This window comes from Homo sapiens, chromosome 4 (genome assembly GCF_000001405.40).
Source record: "Homo sapiens chromosome 4, GRCh38.p14 Primary Assembly".
In the NCBI taxonomy this organism is placed as follows: domain Eukaryota; kingdom Metazoa; phylum Chordata; class Mammalia; order Primates; family Hominidae; genus Homo; species Homo sapiens.
The window spans coordinates 79,236,642-79,257,703 of record NC_000004.12 but is presented as its reverse complement, the minus strand read 5'-3'; the positions used below and the strand labels follow the sequence as shown (position 1 = coordinate 79,257,703).

Sequence of the window (21,062 nt, the reverse complement as noted above, 5' to 3'; positions counted from 1 at the left end):
GGTGACAGAACTCAAGAAGAAATTAGAAATTTTAAAAAGCTTTTGAAATAAAGATCAAACACCAAAATGAATGTACACAGAAATAGTGGCTTCAGAGAAATATGCAGTAAAAAGAAATTTCAGAATCAAAAAGAAATGAAAGAAAATGGTTCTGAAAGTGGCACATTTTGAATATAGGCAAAGAGAATCCTCTTACAGATAATAAGTGACCTAAAGAAGAAAACCAAAGCAAAGGAACTAAATACTAAACTAAAAGCAACAATTAAAAAAAAATCTCTTGCAAATTAAAGTATTTTTAAAATTTTGAAACTACACTTTAAAACTTCATACTGCATACCCCAAAATATTGAAACAAAATGACCTACACCAAGATATATCTAGAAAACATGCTTCAGACAACCAAAATGACTAGAGAAAGATCAACAAAAAGACTGGTGGTGAGCATTAAATATGAAGCTAGTGGTGTAAATAAGATTGAGAATTTAAGAGTATTTAATGTAATGGCTATGTGCTCTGTCAATGTAATAATAGTACAACTGGAACACATAGGGGAAAAATAGAGAGGGCATATGCAAAAGAACACAACAGATTTCAAAGATTTAATAAAAATAAAGAAAATATTTCATTAACAACTTTACATTGATTACATGTTGAAATGATAGTATTTTGTGAGGTGTTGGGTTAATGAAATATGTATATAATATACTAGAATTAATTTTACAAGTTTCTTTAAACTTTTCTGACATGGCTACAAAAGTATTTACAGGCCGGGCATGGTGGCTCATGTCTGTAATCCCAGCACTTAGGGAGGCCAAAGCAGCCAGGAGTTTGAGACCAGCCTGGTCAACACAGTGAAACCCTGTCTCTAACAAAAAATATAAAAATTAGCCGAGTGTGGTGGCATGCACCTGTGGTCCCAGCTACTCAGGAGGCTGAGGCATAAGAATTGCTTGAACCCAGGAGGTGGAAGTTGCAGTGAGCCAAGATGGCACCACTGCACTCAAGCCTAGGTGATGGAGTGAGACCTCGTGTCAATATATATATATATATATTTATATTTATATATATATGGTTCATTTTAATTGAGTTAATATATTACCATTTTAGAACCCTCAAAGACTTAATGGATCTAATCACTGAGCATCAATAGCTGCTAACATAAAGACAGAGTGAATTTTATGTTTTCTACTTGTCTCTGATGAAAGAACCCAGCACCATTTATTGTGTTGCCAAAGGGGTGCAACCAGTGTCTGATCAAATCTCTAGATCTAGAAGCCCATCTGCAGGATAAAGGAACACACTGAACTGAACTGTAGGTGAAATAATACTCAAAGTTATAACTGCAACATTGAGGGCTACAAGGAACATTTCCTACCCCTCAATTCACTTTTTTCATACAGGAGAAATTACTGTAGTTCTTAAAATACGTGAAATAAATAGTATAAGAAAGTATAACTAAAACCTTAATGTAAGAGAAAAGAATTAAATTGTAAAAATATCTCATAATTCCAAAATAAGGCAAGAAAAAGGGAACAGAGAAACAAGGAATACCTGGGGCAAATAAAAAACAAATCGAAAGATAATTTTAAAAACCCAACTGAAGTAGGAGGCAGGACTCAACTCCGGAGGTGGGGCTCAGACACCAGACCAACTTGAGGACTAGTTAAATTAGGGCCCTGGTGGAAGCAGCTTTCAATCAGACCCAACCGCCAGCGAGCCATGTCAATTTACTATCGCCATGGCAACACCTGGGAGTTACCGCCCCTTTCCATGGCAATGACCCAAAGTTACTACCCTTCCCTGGAAATTTCTGCATAAAATACCTTTTAATCTGCATGCCATTAAAAGTGGGTATAAATATGACTGCAAAACTGCTCTAAGCTGCTACTGTCTGACTACAGGGTAGCCCTGCTCTGCAGGAGCAGCCATGGAGCTGTAACAACGTCTCTTCAATAAAGCTGCTTTCTTCCACCTCTAACTTGCCCATGAATTCCTTCCTGGGCAAAGCCAAGAACCATCACAGGTAAACTCCACTTTGAGGCTTGTCTGCCCTGCATCACAGCTATATCACTAATAACATTGAATATAAATGAATTAAACAATCCAAATAAAAGATTAATATTGTTTTTTGGTAAAAAGACAATTAAATGCAGTTTACAAGAGATAGTCATTTAAGGACTCACTTAGGATAAAAAGCTACAGCACATAAATACTAACCAAAAGAACACCAGCATTACTGATAGCAATATAGAATACTGATATTAATATCAAAGAAGAGTTTGAAAAAGAAATATATAGCACACAAATACTAATAAAAATACTGGTATTACTGATAGTAATACAGAATATTGATATTAATATCAGTAAAGAAGAGTTTAAAAAATTACTGAGACATATATGCCCACCAAAGACATGTACAAAAATATTTAGAGCAATTCATTTCATAATAGCAAAAATTAAAAACAATGCAAGTATTCATCAACAATGGAAAAAGTTGTTATAATGTATGCTCTTTTCACTCCCTCTTCCAATCACCACCACCCCCAGTGTGATCATTATCTTGATCTCTGAAACTATAGATCAGTTTTCCCTGTCTTTGAAATTTCTATAAATGAAACCATACAGCATGTAGTATTTTGTGTCTTCCTTTTTTCACTCTACATTTTGGGAGATTCTTTGACATTATTGTATATAATTATAGTTCATTATCATTTCTGTATATCACTTAATTACATGACTATTCCACATTTATGTTCCATGCCACTGTTAGTTGCCTCAGTTTCCTCATATGTAAAATACTGATAATAATACCAACTTATGAAGTTAAATGAACTAATATTTGTGAAGCAATTCTTACACTACTTGTCATATAGCAAGCTCTATGTAAATATTTGACTAAAATATATGGTATATGTGTCATTTGGACTTATATATTTTCTTCATCAATAACAAACCTTCATGTTGTGCACATGTACCCTAAAACTTAAAGTATAATAATAATAAAAAAGTAAATAAATAAATTAAATTAACTAAAAGAAAAAAGTAAAAAAAAAAAAAAGAAAAGGACAAATCCTTTTTAAATATTTAAGTTCCCATTAATCCTATAGTGTTATGTATCTTATTCACAAATTAATTCACTTAAAAACATAAAACACAATGTATTTCAGACTCTATACTATCTCTCAGGGAATCTGGGACACCATGTGGACAAGTATTTACAATATAATAATTGCTATGTTATACAAACTAGATTAATCCATGGTTTACCTTGGTCTTTAGACCATTTTATTTTAATTTTCTCTCTTAGTGCCAAGGATAACTTATAATGAGAATTTAATAACTCCAACAAAGTATGTTTTTATTGGCCATGAGGATGCAACAGGAAGTGAGGAAACCATTGAAAGCATCCTTGATAGATATGAAAATGTTTTGATCCTCTTTATGGATTATGACAGGCTGCTAGGGACCCCCTTTGTGATGGACATGCGATAGATAAACAGAAATGCTTCCCTCTTGAAAGATGTCTGTACAATCTAATACAATTAATCTTGCTGGAGTGAGTCAGCTCTAATGGTGCTGCCTGGCATAGGCCATTCATCAAAGCTCACCAATCCATCACACAGAACCAGCTACACTGGGTGGCAGGCCTGCCACTCCTGCCACATGCCTAGATTCCTGGAAATCTATGTGAGGCAGAGCATGCCCTGTGAAGTTATTTATGTTTGTCTTAAAAAAGGGAATCTGAAGCTATTCTTATTCAATGCTACTGATTCTAATGAAGATGTCAACGAAAAACTACCTTCCCTCCTGACAGAAAGCTCATCTATTTTGACAAATAAAAGTCTGGCAATGTGTCCTCCTCTCAAACTCAAAAGTCTAGGCATGACAGATCATCCTTGTCAGCATAAGCACATTTTCTAATATCACTCATTTAAAAAAATAATAAAACTTTCACTAGAGATGACAGCCTCCTACAACTACTGCCCATTTTCTGATCCCTATTTTTAAAAACATTTCTTTACTTTTCATCTCTTCTTGAATATTCTGTCGTAGGACTTCTAGTTCTTTGTTGAAATCATTCATGTTGGCTCACTAATGACACCCTTCTTGCCATGCTCAATAACTAAACTTTAGTTCTCTCTCTCTCTCATCACTTCTTTCACTTCTCTTCTCTTCAACTGGTTCTCCTCTGATTTCTAAATCTTCTTTGCTGGTTTCTGTCTTTTTAGTGGTTGGATGTTGGTATGCTCCAGAACTCAGCCCTCAGCCTCTTCTCTTCTCTATACTTACTCCTTTGGTCATCTAATCTTGTCCAATGGCTTTAAATACTAGTATTGTGCAACAGATTCCACAATTTGATAACTGTAGCCTGGACCTCTCCCAAACTCCACATTTTTATATTCAACTGCCTATTTGATGACTCTATTTGAATATCTAAGAGGCATCTAAGTGTAACACATTCAAACTAGAACTCTTGGTTTCCCCCCAAAACATGATTATCTCCTAGTCTTTACCATCTTGGCAAATGTTACATATCCTGACGCAAATGTCGAAAACCTTATAGTCACATTTCAACCTTCTCTTATCCTCACTGCACTTCCTATAAAATCAACCAAAAGTCTTGTTGACTTAAACTTCAAAATATATTCCATGTTTGGCTACTTCTCACCACTTCTACTACTACTTCCCTGATCCCAGCCATTATCACCTCTCACTTTGACAATTCAAGAGACCCCTAACTGGTCTCCCTGCATTCTCTCTTGCCTTTCTTCAGTGTATTCTTTATTGATATACACTTTTTGAAAGTATATATCATGACTTTTCCTTGCTTAAACATTTTAATGGTTCCTTGTTGCATGAGAATCAGTTTCAGACTCTTCACTGTGGCCCTCAGGGACCTGTGTGATATGTGCATATCTCTTTAACATCATCTCTTTCCACTTCTCTCACTCCTCTTCAGTGCCACTGGCCTCCTTGCTAATCCTGAAATTTTTCTGCCCTCCAACTTTGTTCTCACTGAATTTTCTTTGGACATACTTCCCTCAGAGCTGCAACATGAATTTCTTCTCACTTTAATTATCTGATCAAATTTCACTTTTTACAGAAGACTTCCCTAATCACATTCCTTTCTCCTATCATTCTCTATGCCATTACCATGTTTTTTTTTCTTGAAAGCATTTACCTGCCATTTATATTACATTTTTATATTTATTTTATTGTTTATTATCTATCTACCCCAATAAAATGTATGTCCTATGAGAATGGGAGCTCAACCTCTTTTATTCACCTTTATTTCCCCAGTTTTTAGAAGACTGCCTGGTGCATTTTAGGTGCTCAATAAATAATGTTGAATGAGTGGGGTTTAAAAAAATAGATTTAGGGGTACAAATGCAGTTTTGTTACATGGATATATTGCTTGGTGCTGAAGTCTGGGCTTTTAGGGTACCCATCACTGTAGTAGTATCCATCGTACCCAGTAGGTAATTTTTCATCACTCATTCCCCCTCCCCATCCCGTCTTTTAGAGTCTCTAAATTGTCTATCATTGCACTCTCTCAGTTCATGCAACCCATTGTTTAGCTTCCAGTTATAAGTGAGAACATGCAATATTTGACTTTGTTTATGAGTTATTTCACTTAGAATAATGGTCCCAAGTTCCATCTAAGTTTTTGCAAATCACATTTCATTCTTTATGGCTGAGTAGTATTCCATGGTGAATATATACCGCATTTTCTTCATCCAATCATCTGTTGATGGACATTTCAGTTGATTCCATGACTTTGCTATTGTGAATAGTGCAGTAAACATACGAGTGCAGATGTTTTTTTGAATGAGTGGATTTTTAAAATGAAAGCATAGGGATAAATATGCTAATAAGGTTTCTCTTTTTTTGAAAGAGGCATAATCAGTTTTATTCATATGGATCTGGTAGTTAAGGGAAAATAAAATATAAAGCATACTACATAAATTATTATAAGTGGGAAGACAAGTATATGCAGCACAATTGGCCAGGTCATTTATTATTATTTTTTTTTAGAAGAAGCTAACAAAAGGTGTTTTTTTTTTTAATTCACTTTTATTTTAGGTTCAGGGGTACATGGCGGGTTTGTTATGCAGGAAAATTGCCTGTTATGGGAGTTTGTTATACAGATTGTTTCATCACCCAGGTAATCAGCACAGTTCCCAGTAGGAAGTTTTGTAATCTTCTTCCTCCTCTCAACCTCCACTCTCAAGTAGGCCCCAGTGTCTGTTGTTCCCTTCTTTGTGTCCATATGTACTCAATGCTTAGCTCCCACTTATAAGTGAGAACATGAGATATTTGGTTTTCTGTTCCTGTGTTAGTTTGCTTGGGCTAATGGCCCCAGTTCCATCCCTGTTGCTGCAAAGAACATGATCTCATTCATTTTTATGTCTGTGTAGTATTCCATGGTGTATATATACAACATTTTCTTCATACGATCTACCATTGATGGGCATCTATGTTGATTTCATGTGTTTCCTATTGTTAATAGTGCTGCAGTGAACATAAGGGTACATGCGTCTTTTTGGTAAAATGATTCATTTTCCTTTGGGAATATACTCAATAATGGAATTGCTGAGTCAAATGGTATCTCTGTTTTCAGTTCTTTGAGAACTCGCCAAACTGCTTTCTACAATGGCTGAGCCATTAATAATTTACGTTTCCACCAGCAGTGTATAAGTGTTTCTTTTTCTCTGCAAACTCACTTGCATCTGTTATTTTTTGACTTTTTAATTATAGCCATTCTGACTAGTGTGAGATGGTATGTCATTGTGGTTTGATTTGCATTTCTCTAATGATTAGTGATGTTGAATATTTCTTCATATGCTTGTAGGGCCCATGTATGTCTTCTTTTGAAAACTCTCTTTTCAAGTCCTTTGCCCACTTTTTAATGGTGTTTTTTTCCTGTAATTTTGTTTAAGTTCCTTATAAATGCTGAATATTAGACCTTTGTCAGATGCATAGTTTGCAAATATTTTCTCCCATTCTTTAGGTTGCCTATTTGTTGATAGTTTCTTTGGCTGTGCAGAAACTCTTTACTTTAATCAGGTCCCACATATCAATTTTTGTTTTTGTTGTAATTGCTTTTGGCGTCTTCATCATGAAATCTTTGCCGGGTCCTATGTCCAGAATGGTATATCCTAGGTTACCTTCCAGAGTTTTTATACTTTTAGGGTTTACATTTGGGTCTCAATCCATCTTGAGTTGATTTTTGCATATGGTATAAAGAAGGGGTCTAGTTTCAGTCTCCGAGTTCCTGTGGAACTCAATCATCTCAGGCGGTCTCCAGTCTGCTGCCGCTGGCCAGCTGGAATTCCAGCCAATGGGTCTTAACTTATGAGGTGCCATGGGAGCGGGGCCCGCTGAACGTGGCCTCTCGGCTCCCTGGCTTCAGCCCTCTTCCTATGGGAATGGACAGATCTCCTGCCTCACTAGAATTCCTGGGGCCGGAGTTTGCAAAAACTCCTGCATCTCCGTGCATGCCCAAGTGGCCGCTGAGAATCTACACAGCTCTCTGCCTCAGACCCAAGGCCCTGGTGGCATGGCCTCATAGCGGGTGGATTGCAAAGATCTGTGGCAGAAATGTGGTTTCCTGTGCGGGGTCACACAATCACTCAACTCCCTTGGCTGGGGATGACAGCTCCCTTTGCTCTGTGCTGCTCCTGGGTGGGCCATAGCCACACCCTACTTTTCCTCACTCTCTCTGAGTCATGCTGATCACCTAGTCAGTCCCAATGCAAGAACCTGGATGCCTAGGTTGAAGGTGTAGAATTCATTCACCATTTTGTCCTCTGTGAGAGCTGCAGACTGTAGCTGCTTCTAATTGGCCATCTTGGCCCACCCAGTATTTTTCTTTCAACTTTGAAGAATCTGATGACTGTGTGTCTTGGAGAAGGTATTCTTGTGTAGTATTTTGTAAGGGTTCTCTGTGTTTTCTGAATTTGAATGTTGGTCTTTCTAGCAAGGTTTGGGGAATTTTCATGGCGATATCCTGAAATATGTTTTCCAAGTTGTTTGCTTTCTCTTTCTTTCAGGGACACCAATAGGCCTCTCTTTTGGCATTTTTACATAATCCCTTATTTCTTAGAGGTTTTGTTTATTCTTCTTTACTGCTTTTTCTTTATATTTGTCTGACTGTGTTATTTCAGAGAGCCGGTGTTTGAGCCCTGAGATTCTTTCCTTAGCTGGTCAATTCTGCTGTTAATGCTAGCAATTGTATTCTGAAATTCTCAAAGTGAGTTTTAAATCTATCAGATGAGTTTGGTTCTTTCTTGTAATGGTCATTTGTTCATCAGCTCACGTATTGTTTTATCCTAATCCTTAGATTCCTTGGATTAGGTTTCAACTTTCTCATGAATGTCAATAATCTTCATTCCTATCCATATTCTGAATTCAATATCTGTCATTTCAGACATTTCAGCTTGGCTAAGAACCATAGCTGGGGAAGTAGTGTGGTCATTTGCAGGTAAGAAGACACTCTGGCTTTTTGAGTGGCCAGAGTTCTTGTACTGGTTCTTTCTCATCCTTATGAGGTGGGTTCAGTTGACTGGTTCCTTTCTGGAAGATTTTAGGGGCCCAGGGCTCCGCTCAGGACTCTGGGGCCATGTGCTGTAACTCTTGGGAGCTGGCATTGGGCTCCCTGCTTTGTTCTCTGGCCCCTCACAGTTAGGAACCTGCTGCACTGGGGGGGGGCTCAAGTGCTCCCAGACTGCTCATCACAACATTCCAATGGGTGGTGCCAGCCAAAGTGCTTTTTAGGCAGTGGTAGTGGGATCTGTAATCACTTGCATGTGTCAGTGCAGTGGCAGCATGGCGGAGTGCATGCTTGTGGGTTAAGGCAGGGAGCTGGTGGGTACAGTGCAGTGCCAGTCTCCTGCGGGTGTTCACAGCAGCAGTGGTGGCAGCATGGCCACTGTTCTCCACGTGCAGGTTTATGCAGGCAGCAGTATTGGCACGGGGTGGGGAACTAGTAGGTGTGGGGTTGCTGCCCTCTATGCACATGTTCATGCTGGTGGCAATGGTGGCACAGGGTGGGGAGTGGGGCCATTGTTCTCCAGGCACAGGTTTGTGCCGGTGGTATCAATGCAGGGGTAGAGCACTGGTGAAAGTGGTGCTAGAGGTCACCACATTTGCAATTGTGCCAGTGGCAATTGTGGCACAGAATGGCAGGCAGGGCTGCTGGTCTTATGTGCATCTATGTTGTCAATGGTGGCACAGCAGGGGGCAGAGTGTGCTCACACTGGCAGCCATGGCATGGTGGGGTGTATATGCAAATACCTGCCAGTGGTAGGGGAAGGGAAGGAAGGTCCACCTGATCCCACATGACCCATCAAACGATTGTGGGGGTTGGTTATGGGTGTGTGTGTACTGACAAAGCAGTATGGGGGAGGTTGCAGTTGGGGGAAGGTGCAGGCGGGCTGGTGAATGTCAGTGGGGAGGCCGTTCTGCTGGAACTCTCTGACAATTAGGCCCGGTCTACCTGTGCATGAGCTATGATGTGGGCCCCAGGGAGGCACCACAGCTTGGCATCTGAGGCTGCACTGCAAGCAGGTGTGGTCAGGCCAGGGCCCTAGGAGAGGCCAGTAGACAGGGAAGTGCTCAGGTCAGACTGGCCTCATCTCATAGGCAAGATTGCCCTGCTCTGTTCAGGTCCAATAGTTCCCCTAAGGCTAAAGTCTCCTAGGGGAGCAAGGCAAGCCTTGGGAGATGGGCATCCCTGGCTGTGCTCCACTACAGACACTCCCGCACCAAATCCTCTGGGATCTGTGCCAGCTGGAGTTCTGCCCCTACCACCTCTCTAAGCTGCTCTCTCCACCAGTTCAAGTGTCTGTGGGGGTCATGGGGTCTTCTGCCGCCAAGATTCCTGAGACCAGTGGTGAGAGGAGGTTGCTCCACACCTGCTTAACTCACCCCTTCCCCAGGACTTGCTTGGGGCCAGGAATGAGTCTCAGTGCATGGTAGTCCTGGGCAGGGTTCCCAGCTTTCTCCCCCTTCAACCCAGTATCTCTGTCCTCCCTCTGTCTGCTCTCAATGCCTTCCCTCTGAAGATCTGCTTGGAGTGCGCCAGTCTTACTGATGTTCTGGTCACTTGGTGGCAGATGTTCCTCCTGGCTGTATTTAGTTGGCTATGTTGCCTCCAAGCCTAAGGTCTCTTCTTATTCTTAGTTGTGGTTCTGAATCATTAAGTATTGTCTCTATAAAAACTGTTATTGTGTCTCAACTTCCTATGAAGTAGATGTTTGGAAGAATACAGGCAAATGGCAAAGGAATTTTGTGACGAATAGATTGTGAGGAAGCCAATACAGGGAAAACTGAAATGCAGGGGAGATATGAAATTCTCAGAAATGTAGTGAAGGTAACAAGAAAAAATAAGCTTCAATGTGGATAATCAAATGTTTATAATATAGATTTAGTAATCACCTTTCTCGTATATGGCTTCCTAAGCCAGATAAATACACCACTCTCCCCTGGACCTATAAAGTCAAGCTATCAAAATACACAATGATAGTTTCAACAATTATTCCAAATCCCTCCAGCCCTGCCATCTGTTTTTCACTGTTTTCTAAGCCATATGCACCTCTGAACTCCTGGCTTTAGAACCCTAGCCTCAAGTCTTACTTCTGCACCACTACCATTGACGTTTGACCTCACTCACATTCCTGACTTGACTTACAACTCCAGCTTCCTCCAGCCCTTGACCTTCAGTGAGACTCTTCTTGCTCTACCATTTGCCTCAAGAAACCAAAACTGGGGCCCAAAGAGCCACTAGCTCCCTGGACTAGCTCTGATTCCCTTGAGAGAGGGTGATTCCGATTAGAAAAACCAAACTTTTATATCAAAGGAATTTGAATTCTAAGTGAATCTCTGTAATAAATTTAGAAAGTAATGATCAGTGGATTTAGTTCCACTCCAGGCCTCTCTGCATTCTTTACATAATATATTAATTAATTAAATGAAAGAATGCATTTTAAGTGCTTAGCTCACTATTTAGCACTTACTGTGATTATTAGTATATTATTATAAACTGCCTTAGGAACAGAAGTAATCAGGTTCAACTGATGGATTTAATCGCATTTTCGAAGTGTGTTAAATAAGTCTGTTTTAAAATTTTAATTGCTAGTTACTTTTCACAAAGTTGATCCTTTCTTTTTCCTGAAGATACCACTAAATTTTTCTTTTTACATATCCATTTAGCTTAAATACTTAATTGCATTTTAAAGGATTCTTTAAATTAATATTTGGAGTATTTCTAAGTTTTAAAACTGCTCAAATTCTTATTTTTTCTTTTTTTTTTTTTTTTTTTTTTAGTATTTATTGATTATTCTTGGGTGTTTCTCGGAGAGAGGGATTTGGCAGGGTCATAGGACAATAGTGGAGAGAAGGTCAGCAGATAAACATGTGAACAAAGTTCTCTGGTTTTCCTAGGCAGAGGACCCTGCAGCCTTCCGCAGTGTTTGTGTCCCTGGGTACTTGAGATTAGGGAGTGGTGATGACTCTTAACCAGCATGCTGCCTTCAAGCATCTGTTTAACAAAGCACATCTTGCACTGCCCTTAATCCATTTAACCCTGAGTTGACACAGCACAGTTGCAGAGAGCACGGGGTTGGGGGTAAGGTTACAGATTAACAGCATCCCAAGGCAGAAGAATTTTTCTTAGTACAGAACAAAATGGAGTCTCCTATGTCTACTTCTTTCTACACAGACACAGTAACAATCTGATCTCTCTTTTCCCCACATTTCCCCCTTTTCTATTCGACAAAACCGCCATCGTCATCATGGCCCGTTCTCAATGAGCTGTTGGGTACACCTCCCAGAAGGGGTGGCCGCCGGGCAGAGGGGCTCCTCACTTCCCAGACGTGGCGGCCGGGCAGAGGGGCCCCTCACCCCCCAGACGGGCGGCTGGGCGGAGGCGCCCCCCTACCTCCCAGAGGGGGTGGCTGCCGGGCGGGGGCGCCCCCAACCTCCCAGAGGGGGCGAACAGGCAGAGACACTCCTCACTTCCCAGACGGGGTGGCTGCTGGGCGGAGGGGCTCCCCACTTCCCAGACAGGGTGGCCGGGCAGAGGTGCTCCTCAGTTCCCAGACGGGGTGGCGGCCAGATAGAGACGCTCCTCACCTCCCAGATGGGGTGGCGGCCGGGTAGAGACGCTCCTCACCTCCCAGACGGGGTGGCGGCCAGGTAGAGACGCTCCTCACCTCCCAGATGGGGTGGCGGCCGGGTAGAGACGCTCCTCACCTCCCAGACGGGGTGGCGGCCGGGCAGAGGCGCTCCTCACTTCCCAGACTGGGTGGTGGCTGGGTAGAGATGCTCCTCATCTCCCAGACAGGGCGGCCGGGCAGAGGCGCTCCCCACATCCCAGATGATGGGTGGCCAGGCAGAGACGTTCCTCACTTCCTAGACGGGATGATGGCCCGGGAAGAGGCGCTCCTCACTTCCCAGACTGGGCAGCCAGGCAGAGGGGCTCCTCGCATCCCAGATGATGGGCGGCCAGGCAGAGATGTTCCTCACTTCCTAGACGGGATGGCGGCCGGGAAGAGGCGCTCCTCACTTCCCAGACTGGGCACCGGGCAGAGGGGCTCCTCACATCCCAGACAATAGGCGGCCAGGCAGAGATGCTCCTCACTTCCTAGACGGGGTGGCAGCCGGGCAGAGGCTGCAATCTCAGCACTTTGGGAGGCCAGGGCAGGTGGCTGGGAGGTGGAGGTTTTAGCGAGCCGAGATCACGCCACTGCACTCCAACCTGGGCAACATTGAGCACTGAGTAAGCGAGACTCCCGTCTGCAATCCCGGCACCTCGGGAGGCCGAGGCGGGCAGATCACTCGAGGTCAGGAGCTGAGACCAGCCCAGCCAACACCGCGAAACCCCGTCTCCACCAAAAAATACAAAAACCAGTCAGGCGTGGCGGTGGGCGCCTGCAATCCCAGGCACTCGGCAGGCTGAGGCAGGAGAATCAGGCAGGGAGGCTGCAGTGAGCCGAGATTGCGGCAGTACAGTCCTGCCTCGGCAACAGAGGGAGACCGTGGAAAGCGGGAGACGGAGACGGGGAGGGGGAGGGGGAGGGGGAGAGGGAGAGTGAGACTCAAATTCTTATTTTCAAGAGCTATAATAAAATGCTTACATTTTAGTTTACTTAGTAGTAAACTAGTTAATTTTAAAAATTTTATCTTGGAAACATAGTGATGGGAACATTAACATTTACTCCAATTTCAGTTTCCCAAATACTGTTTTACCAAGAATCAGATAACAAATAAATACTAAGTGAAAAAGACAATAGGCAAAGTACTAAATGAAAAATTGGGCAATGTATCTTTCATTCAGTTAACAGACATACTGATGCCTATGGCTTAGTATTACTGGAAGTAGCCCAATGAAGCGGACTGGTGGGACTGTTACAGGCAGTTAGGCATGAGCAGGGCAGGAGAGGGCTCTCCCTGCCCCACCCACTAGAAAAGTCAGGTGATGGTTTGGCAATTATCGCAATGCCTCTCTAAAAGCGATAACTTGGCAGCCAGAGCCAGGGAGAGGCCAGTTCCTGATGGTCCACCCCTGTTAACATTGAAGTGTTAATTAAAGGCTGACCCCAGGGAGAAGTAACTTCCTGGTCATGCACCTTAAGATACAAAAATGGCATAGTATGATCTTCCGTGTACACTCCATTGGAAAAAGGAAGAAAGCCTCAGTTGGGCATGCCTATAACTCTCTAAACACACTGCGCATGCTCAATTCCCAAGGGTAAGGAGAACCCTGCACATGCGGAAAGCCCACCCTAAGGGAAGAATCATGGGAAAGAGGCCAGCCCATAAAGTCCCAGGATCGAGGTTAAAGGCCCTTTTTATTTCCTCTTTGATATTCATGTACCCTCTTGTATCTCTTCCAAGTTAACTTTCCTTTCTTTCCTGTTCTAAGGCCTTTTAAATAAACTTCCACTCCTGCTCTGAAACTTGCTTCGATCTCTTTTTCTGTTTTATGCCCCTCAGTTGAATTCTTTCTTCTGAGGAGGCAAGAATTGAAGTTGCTGCAGACACATATGGATTTGCCACTGGTAACTGGAGGTACCTTGAATCTCTTCAACTGCTAACACATCAGTAAACTTGTTTTATTTAAAAGACAGTAAACATACAATAAATGCAGTGGTGATTAAGACACAAAAGAGATTGCTCTCATGGAGTTTATGGTTTAGTGGTGAGGGAAGGGGTAGAGAACATGCAAGTTCAAAAAATGAACGAGATAATTTGAAAGATTCAATTACTTCCTAATCCTCTATCTTTCAAGCATTATTGGTGTAAGCGCATATGTGGGGGATGGACATGAATCCCATATGACAATTTTGTCAAGATCTTTTCAAGATAATTGAGGAAAGGGAGCACCCTTCCTCATCTTCATTTTTTAAAATATTATTTGCAGCTGTGCAGGATACAAATAACCGTCCAGTTGGCCCTTTTCCAATTGAGAACATGTTATGAAAGTCAGTGAAAGGGTCCTGAGGTCTTCAAAACCTGGGGACATCTTTCTTGATGGGTTGTGCTCTAAGGTTTTCTCTCTACCATGTATGCATCTGAGGAAGCCTTTCATCAATCTCAGACCACTACCCAGAAATTTCAAACTTGACCCAACTCCGGAAAATCACTTGGGTAACCGAAAGAAGCATTTAACCTCCAGGGTTAGTTCATGACTAGAGGAGATCCCATTCTTGACTATGTCCAGTAAGCAGTGGGCTTCCTTAAACTATCCAAAGCCTAATTCTTATCTCTAATGAGAAGTAGCTCAAGGGAACCCTAAGCTCCTCTCCTTCCTGAAAAGCATTGCACAGGTTAGACATAAACCAGCCTGATGGCTGTGATATGAATGCTGTAACTACCATATAGCCAATAGGTCTACTGCATTCCTGATGTTTTCTATTCCAGACTAACAACTGAACCCCAAAGTGGATAATAAAATCCCTAAAATATTTGGGATAAAATATCTTCTCTTGTTCATACAATCCTTTTTTCCAAATCTCATAGATAAGTAGTGTATTAAGATGGAATGAGACAGAAAACACAGTAATTTGAACAGGGAATTTTAATATAAAGATTATGAACAGAATTAACTATAGAGGACTAAGGAGGACCAGGGCAGAGGAAGAATGTCCAATGAAGAAATACATTTGGAAGTTCCTTTCTCTAAGTCTGGGGTTCAGACTTCATTGGAAAAGACATTGTTGGTACCCTTTGGGTGGCAGAGAAGTTCACTGGGTTTCCCCAGGCCAGACTAATTCACAATTGCTGGGTAATCAAGAAATGCCCCTCCATAGTACAAGTGAGTTGAAGCAGGCAGACACAATTGCAGCTAGACCTGGCAAGCCAGAAATGCACTTCCAAAGTGCAGGTGGACTGAAACTGGTAGGCAGGGAACTAGAGCTGGAACTAGCTGAAACTAACAAGAAGGATATCCCCCTCCAAGGTGCAGGTGGGCCACAGCTATGGAGCTGACTGCTGTAGTGCTTACAAGACTCTCTAGGAATGCATTCATGGCGGTATGAATGGAACTTGACAGGAAGCCATCCACAGAATTACCACTTAAACTCGAAGGGGATGAGTACTACTAGATGCCTCTCACGTGTGTCACTGGCAAACAAGCATGAGGAGCAAGAAGCAGCATCAAGAAACACATTGGAATAGCAGAGAAAAGCCCCTTCTTCCTCACTGTTCCTCCAGTGCCCTCTATTGACAATGTTTAACATCATGCCAACTACAAAGGATAAATGCTTATAGGTTCCATCTCCATTATTGAAAAGCATGTAGTGATAGGTGGATTTGGACCTGAAAGGTCCAGACTACCTCTTTGGCTACTCAGTTTCCATATGCACCTTTCTAACACATTTGAGCTTCCATACCACATTAAAATAACCCTAAATTTCCATCTAACAAGATTCAACTATTTTACTTACAAGTGATGCAGTTCTTACCCTTTCCCCAAAATGAGGAGAGACATAGTCCCAGCAGTCATTGTATCTACTGCCTACTATACTAGTTATTCCTCAAGTTCCTCCATAGCTCTACTGAATATGCTGTCACTTACAGACTAAGTTATAAAGTTAATCTCCACCGACTAGTATATAAAAGTAAATGGAAAGAAGAAAGCAAAAAGAAAGTTAATATATGCAAATATTAGAAACAAAAAGCATATATGCAAAATTACTATGGTCCTTGTTTCTGCACTTGTACAGTTGACCTTTGAACAACAAAGAGGTTAGAGGTGCCAACCCTCCACCATGCAATCAAAAATCGACTCTAACCTTTAACTTCCCCAAAACTTAGCTACTAATAGCCTTCTGTTGACTGGAATGCTTACCAATAACATTAACAGTTATGTAACGTATATTTTGTATGTTATATGTATTATATACTGCATTCTCACAATAAAGTAAGCTAGAGAAAATAAAATGTTAATAAGAAAATCATAAGAAAGAGAAAATATATTTAAGCGAAAGTGAATCATGAAGTCTTCATCCTTATCATCTTCATGTTGAGTAGGCTGAGGAGGAGGAATAGGAGGGGTTGGTCTTGCTGTCTCAGGGGTGGCAGTGGCAGAAGAAAATCTATGTACAAGTGGACCCACACAGTTCAAACCTATGTTATTCAAGGGTCTACTTTAGTTGATATCTAAGACTTCCTTTCTCCACTAGCCATATCGTATTTGCTTTGCCCTTAGCCAGAATCTCAGCTGGTTGACGATTCTTTACCTGGTGGAATAACCCAAATGTTCATTCCCGAAGTGTCTGAGTCCTCAGTTACCCTGCCTTTTTTTGTTGTTGTTTTTTAGTTGCTATACTTCTCTGCTGACTTTTGCCATTGAGCATGAATATATTAGGAGACACCACAGAGAATCTACCATATTTCAAACATGGTCCTCCTTACCTCCATTGTGTAACAGCAGCCCAGTTTCTCCTTGATTATTGGAATTGATCATTCCAACCAGAAAAAGTAACTTCTTTTTCTTTTGATATGTTTTTTCAGTGGCATAAGAAGCCCAAAATGACTAGTTGGCAGTCTCATCTCCCCATTCAATGGAATCATTATTGTTTCCACTGATGGAAGTATCTTCCATGCCTCATTCCCTTTAGTGACCAGCATCCATAAACAACCGAAATGCAAAGTTGCAGGACAGGAAGCAAAAATTCTGTGAGTAGGGTATTATGTGATATTTTGAGAAGAACATTGCCAATCCTACCCTTTGATTTCCAGACCCTTGTATTCTGGCTATAGAAAAGGCATCCTCATATAATGATCTCTAACACAAAGCATATACTAAGTACATCCTGTAAAATGGAACCTCATTTCTGTATTATCTCTCAACTGACACTATACCTGACTGCTTTAGTAAGCCATTCCATCTTTAAATTGGTCCAGCCACTTCTGAGTGATGGGGGATGTGGTAAGGTTAGTTAATTCCATCAGTATGAGCCCATTGCTACATTTCTTTTGCTTTGAAATGAGTTCCTTGATCACACACAATTATACATGGAATGCCATAAAAAGGATAAATTATTCTGTGAGTTCAATGCTGGCAGAAGCATTAAAGGTGGGAAAGGTAAATCTGTATCAAAAATATGTCTATTCCAAGAGACAAATACCTTCCCCCTTTATGATGGAAGACATCCAATGTAATTAATCTGACACCATTTCCTGGTACTCTCAGGAGTTGTTAGCAGATTAGGCACTCAGCAGTAGTGCAGCCAGGTCACCCTTGGTAAGTGCACACCATGATGTTGAGCCCATGCACACCTCCATCACTGACATCATGGCCACTTTGCTCATAGGCTCATTGTACAAGCAGTGGGCTAGCTGGGGAAATCTAGATGACTGACCACTAGAGAACATGTCATCTTATCCTCCTGACTATTAAAATAGACATCCCTTGGTGGGCATTAATATAGAAAACAAATATCTTCACAGTTTGTGTCCATTATAAGAGGTCCATTCACAAACATTTTTTTTTTCCGAGACAGAGTCTTGCTCTGTCACCCAGGCTGGAGTGTAGTGGCACTATCTTGGCTCACTGCAACCTCCGCCTTCCGGGTTCAAGCGATTCTCATCCCTTAGCTTCCTGAGTAGCTGGGACAGGCACACACCACCATACCTGGCTAATTTTAGTATTTTTCTTTAGTAGGATGGGCTTTTGCCACGTTGGCCGGCTGGTCTTGAATTCTTAGCCTCGAGTGATCCACATGCTTCAGCCTCCCAAAGTGCTAGGATTACAGGTGTGAGCCTCTGTGCCCAGCCCCATTCACATACTTATTCTCAGACTTCCTTGTCACCAATCTCCCAATTCTCTTCCTTCCAAGACCCTGATCATCCAGCTAAACTATTAACAACTGCACATAAATTAATGTATATCTTTATTTCTGGCTATCTCTCGCTTAAGGCATAGTAGACAACCAAAACAGTTATGTTCATATAATGTTAATGGTTCATGCAAATTGAATTCTATAAGTGAATGACACTTCATACTGAATCCAGCTACAAGACTCCCTAGATTCATTTAGTACTAGCTGACTCCCAAGCCTTGCCAACTCGCTCAATGGAATCCTACCAGCTGTCATTGTCACCTTTCACTTAATATTTATCACTCTCTCAATCTTTCTCAGAGTGATATCTAGACTTAAACATAAGTCTATGGCTCCTGCCATGGAAGAAATCACAGCAAATTTACCAGCTCCTGTCCAACTCAACAATACCATACTATGGGAAGTATGACCTGGATTTCCCAATAGAATTCCAAGTGGCCAGGTAATATAACTCAGAATTGCAGTGACATTAGTGTCTATGGCATAAACCTTGACCAAGAGAACTACAAGAGGCAAGTATATACTGGCAAATAAATCTATTCATTTCCTCCTGCTGCTGATTATTCCAAGGCACAGAGATTCTAGAGATGATCTCAGGAGACATCTCTTATGACTGAACAACTGCCATTTTTTGGTGTGTGAACCTGTACTTAACTAGTTGAGAAATGATTTTTTATTTGTGTTCCTTTTTCCCTATCTCACTTCCCTTCTTCCTTCACTTTTATTACCCTGAGATTGTACTCCCCAAGAAAGCATTATTAACATATATGCTTTGTCTGAAGCTCTGTGTTCTAGGTAATCTGGGCTAATATATATCATACATATTCTAGGCAATTTTTTAAAAGGGAAATTATGATGAATCTTGTGTGTTGCTACCTGTTCCTCACTTACTCTGTCTGTTATATTAGATTTCCATAAGTTGTACTTCAAAATCTTATTCTACAGTTTGTTCCAAGTTTTAAGTTATAATGATTTTTAAATTATAAGATATCTTCTCAACAGTGGTTCAGTGGGGACAGAAAAGGAGGAAGAGATTTACAGAAAATCTAAATTAAATCACATGGATTATCATAGTTTACTTTTTTAATTCAGAAAATTGACTTTAACAGCTAAAATAATAGGTCCTTATGGCATTTAACAAACAACTGCTCTTCATCAGTATTCCCAATGGTTTAAGCCACTGGCATTTATTGAATAGCTAAAGACAATGCTAAAATTCTGCTTCTTTTGGCCAACAAATGGAAAACCCAGATGCCAAGGTGAAAAAGATTTGTTCTCTGGTAGTAGCTACAGCAGCTGTCTACTTGGCACATTCCTTAGAAAGCTTCAAAGTTGCCTAGGATACAGACTTTGTAAACTGGGATCCTGCAGAGCCTTTAAAAAGATTTTTTTGTTTAATGCAAGACCTATGTCGACTTCAAATTAGCAATATAGCTTCTAATCTACACATATACACATATGCATTGATTTGCAGATCTACGGAAACAGGGCATATAATGAATAATACAAATTACGGGATCACATAAACTGTACATATTTTGTCATGACAAAGAAAATATGACCCACATGTAGCTTGGAAGCTTTACTTTGGAAGTAAACGTTTGAAGATCATATTCCTGAACAGCTTTTCGTCAATGTTTAGACCTAAGTTTCTGCACTAATCAATAATTATAAAATTGCCCTCAGTAATACTAATTTAACAATTTAGTTTAACAAGCAAGTAGAAATCAGAGTAACACAATCCTAATCACAATATGTTATCAAACACTGTCAAAATGAAGTGAAAGGTGATAGGTGTCAGTGTTTGAATCGTTGAATTCTATACTTAAAATGGGTAAATATTGTGGTGTGTATTATACTTCAATAAAGCTTTTTATAAAAATAGAATTTAAAAATCACAGATTATTGTAAAGAAAACAATAGATATATGGGAGCATGCACACACTCAAACATGTGTGCACACACCTTCTGTAGGCTGAAATTCCAACATCTGTGTCTTAGCCACTTAAAACCATCTCTAGACACCTAACTCCACATACATACCACTGTGTGAATGAGCAGCTAGGAGTGGCTGTTTTCAGACTACTCCTAAGTTCACTATCCTTGTAACTTGGCTGTAATCACCAGAAACCTCATGTTGGTAACCTCTATAGCTGATCAGATGTTCCCTGATATACAGTAAATTTTGGCCATAAATAAAAGACAGTTTTACATTACCCAATTTAGGCACCTGTGTTTCAACATTTTAGATCACTGGAATACATTTGTAGCTGTTCCTTTCAGAAAGAATGTTGCATGTACTCTAAGAAAGGGGAAATACTGAGTCAGGCAGATTGATGGTATTTTACACTGAAGAAAAGACCTTTGAAAGTTTGCCAGGCTTTGAGAAAGGGTCAGCCAGAGCCCCCACAAGAAGGCAGTTTTCCCATCTTCCTGTCAATAATACTTAGCATGCGGAGTTGTTTTATCAGACAGATGGTGGACTATGCACCATTATGACCAATACAATGTTGTCACTTGTGCAAAAGGGTCCCATGAAGTGTTAAGCTCCTCTGCCACCTCAGAGATGGCTCTGTTTGTGCAACCCTTTATAATTTTGCTGTATTAATTCTCTGTCCCTAATGTCAAGAATGACACGTCATAACGAAACTTGGATGTTAAAATCAACTTTGAAGACTTTAATTCAGTTTTAATAGATTTTTGACTTATCAA

At 40.9% G+C, this 21,062-nt stretch overlaps 1 protein-coding gene and 1 long non-coding RNA gene across 3 annotated transcripts in view, besides 1 other annotated feature; one reads left to right on the top strand and one right to left on the bottom strand.

The window, feature by feature from the left end:
• Positions 1-21,062, bottom strand: part of LINC01088 (long intergenic non-protein coding RNA 1088) — a 337,052-nt gene that overhangs the window by 51,096 nt on the left and 264,894 nt on the right. The gene's annotated exons all lie outside the window — the stretch shown is intronic.
• NAA11 (N-alpha-acetyltransferase 11, NatA catalytic subunit) overlaps positions 1-21,062 on the top strand; it is a 170,686-nt gene that overhangs the window by 68,358 nt on the left and 81,266 nt on the right. The gene's annotated exons all lie outside the window — the stretch shown is intronic.
• Positions 8,938-9,439: an enhancer, noted in NCBI's record as "H3K4me1 hESC enhancer chr4:80169419-80169920 (GRCh37/hg19 assembly coordinates)". NCBI's record gives its function as "activates a minimal SCP1, AML or CMV promoter by ChIP-STARR-seq in naive H9 embryonic stem cells {active_cell/tissue: H9 hESC(naive)}" and the evidence as "EXISTENCE:reporter gene assay evidence [ECO:0000049][PMID:30033119]".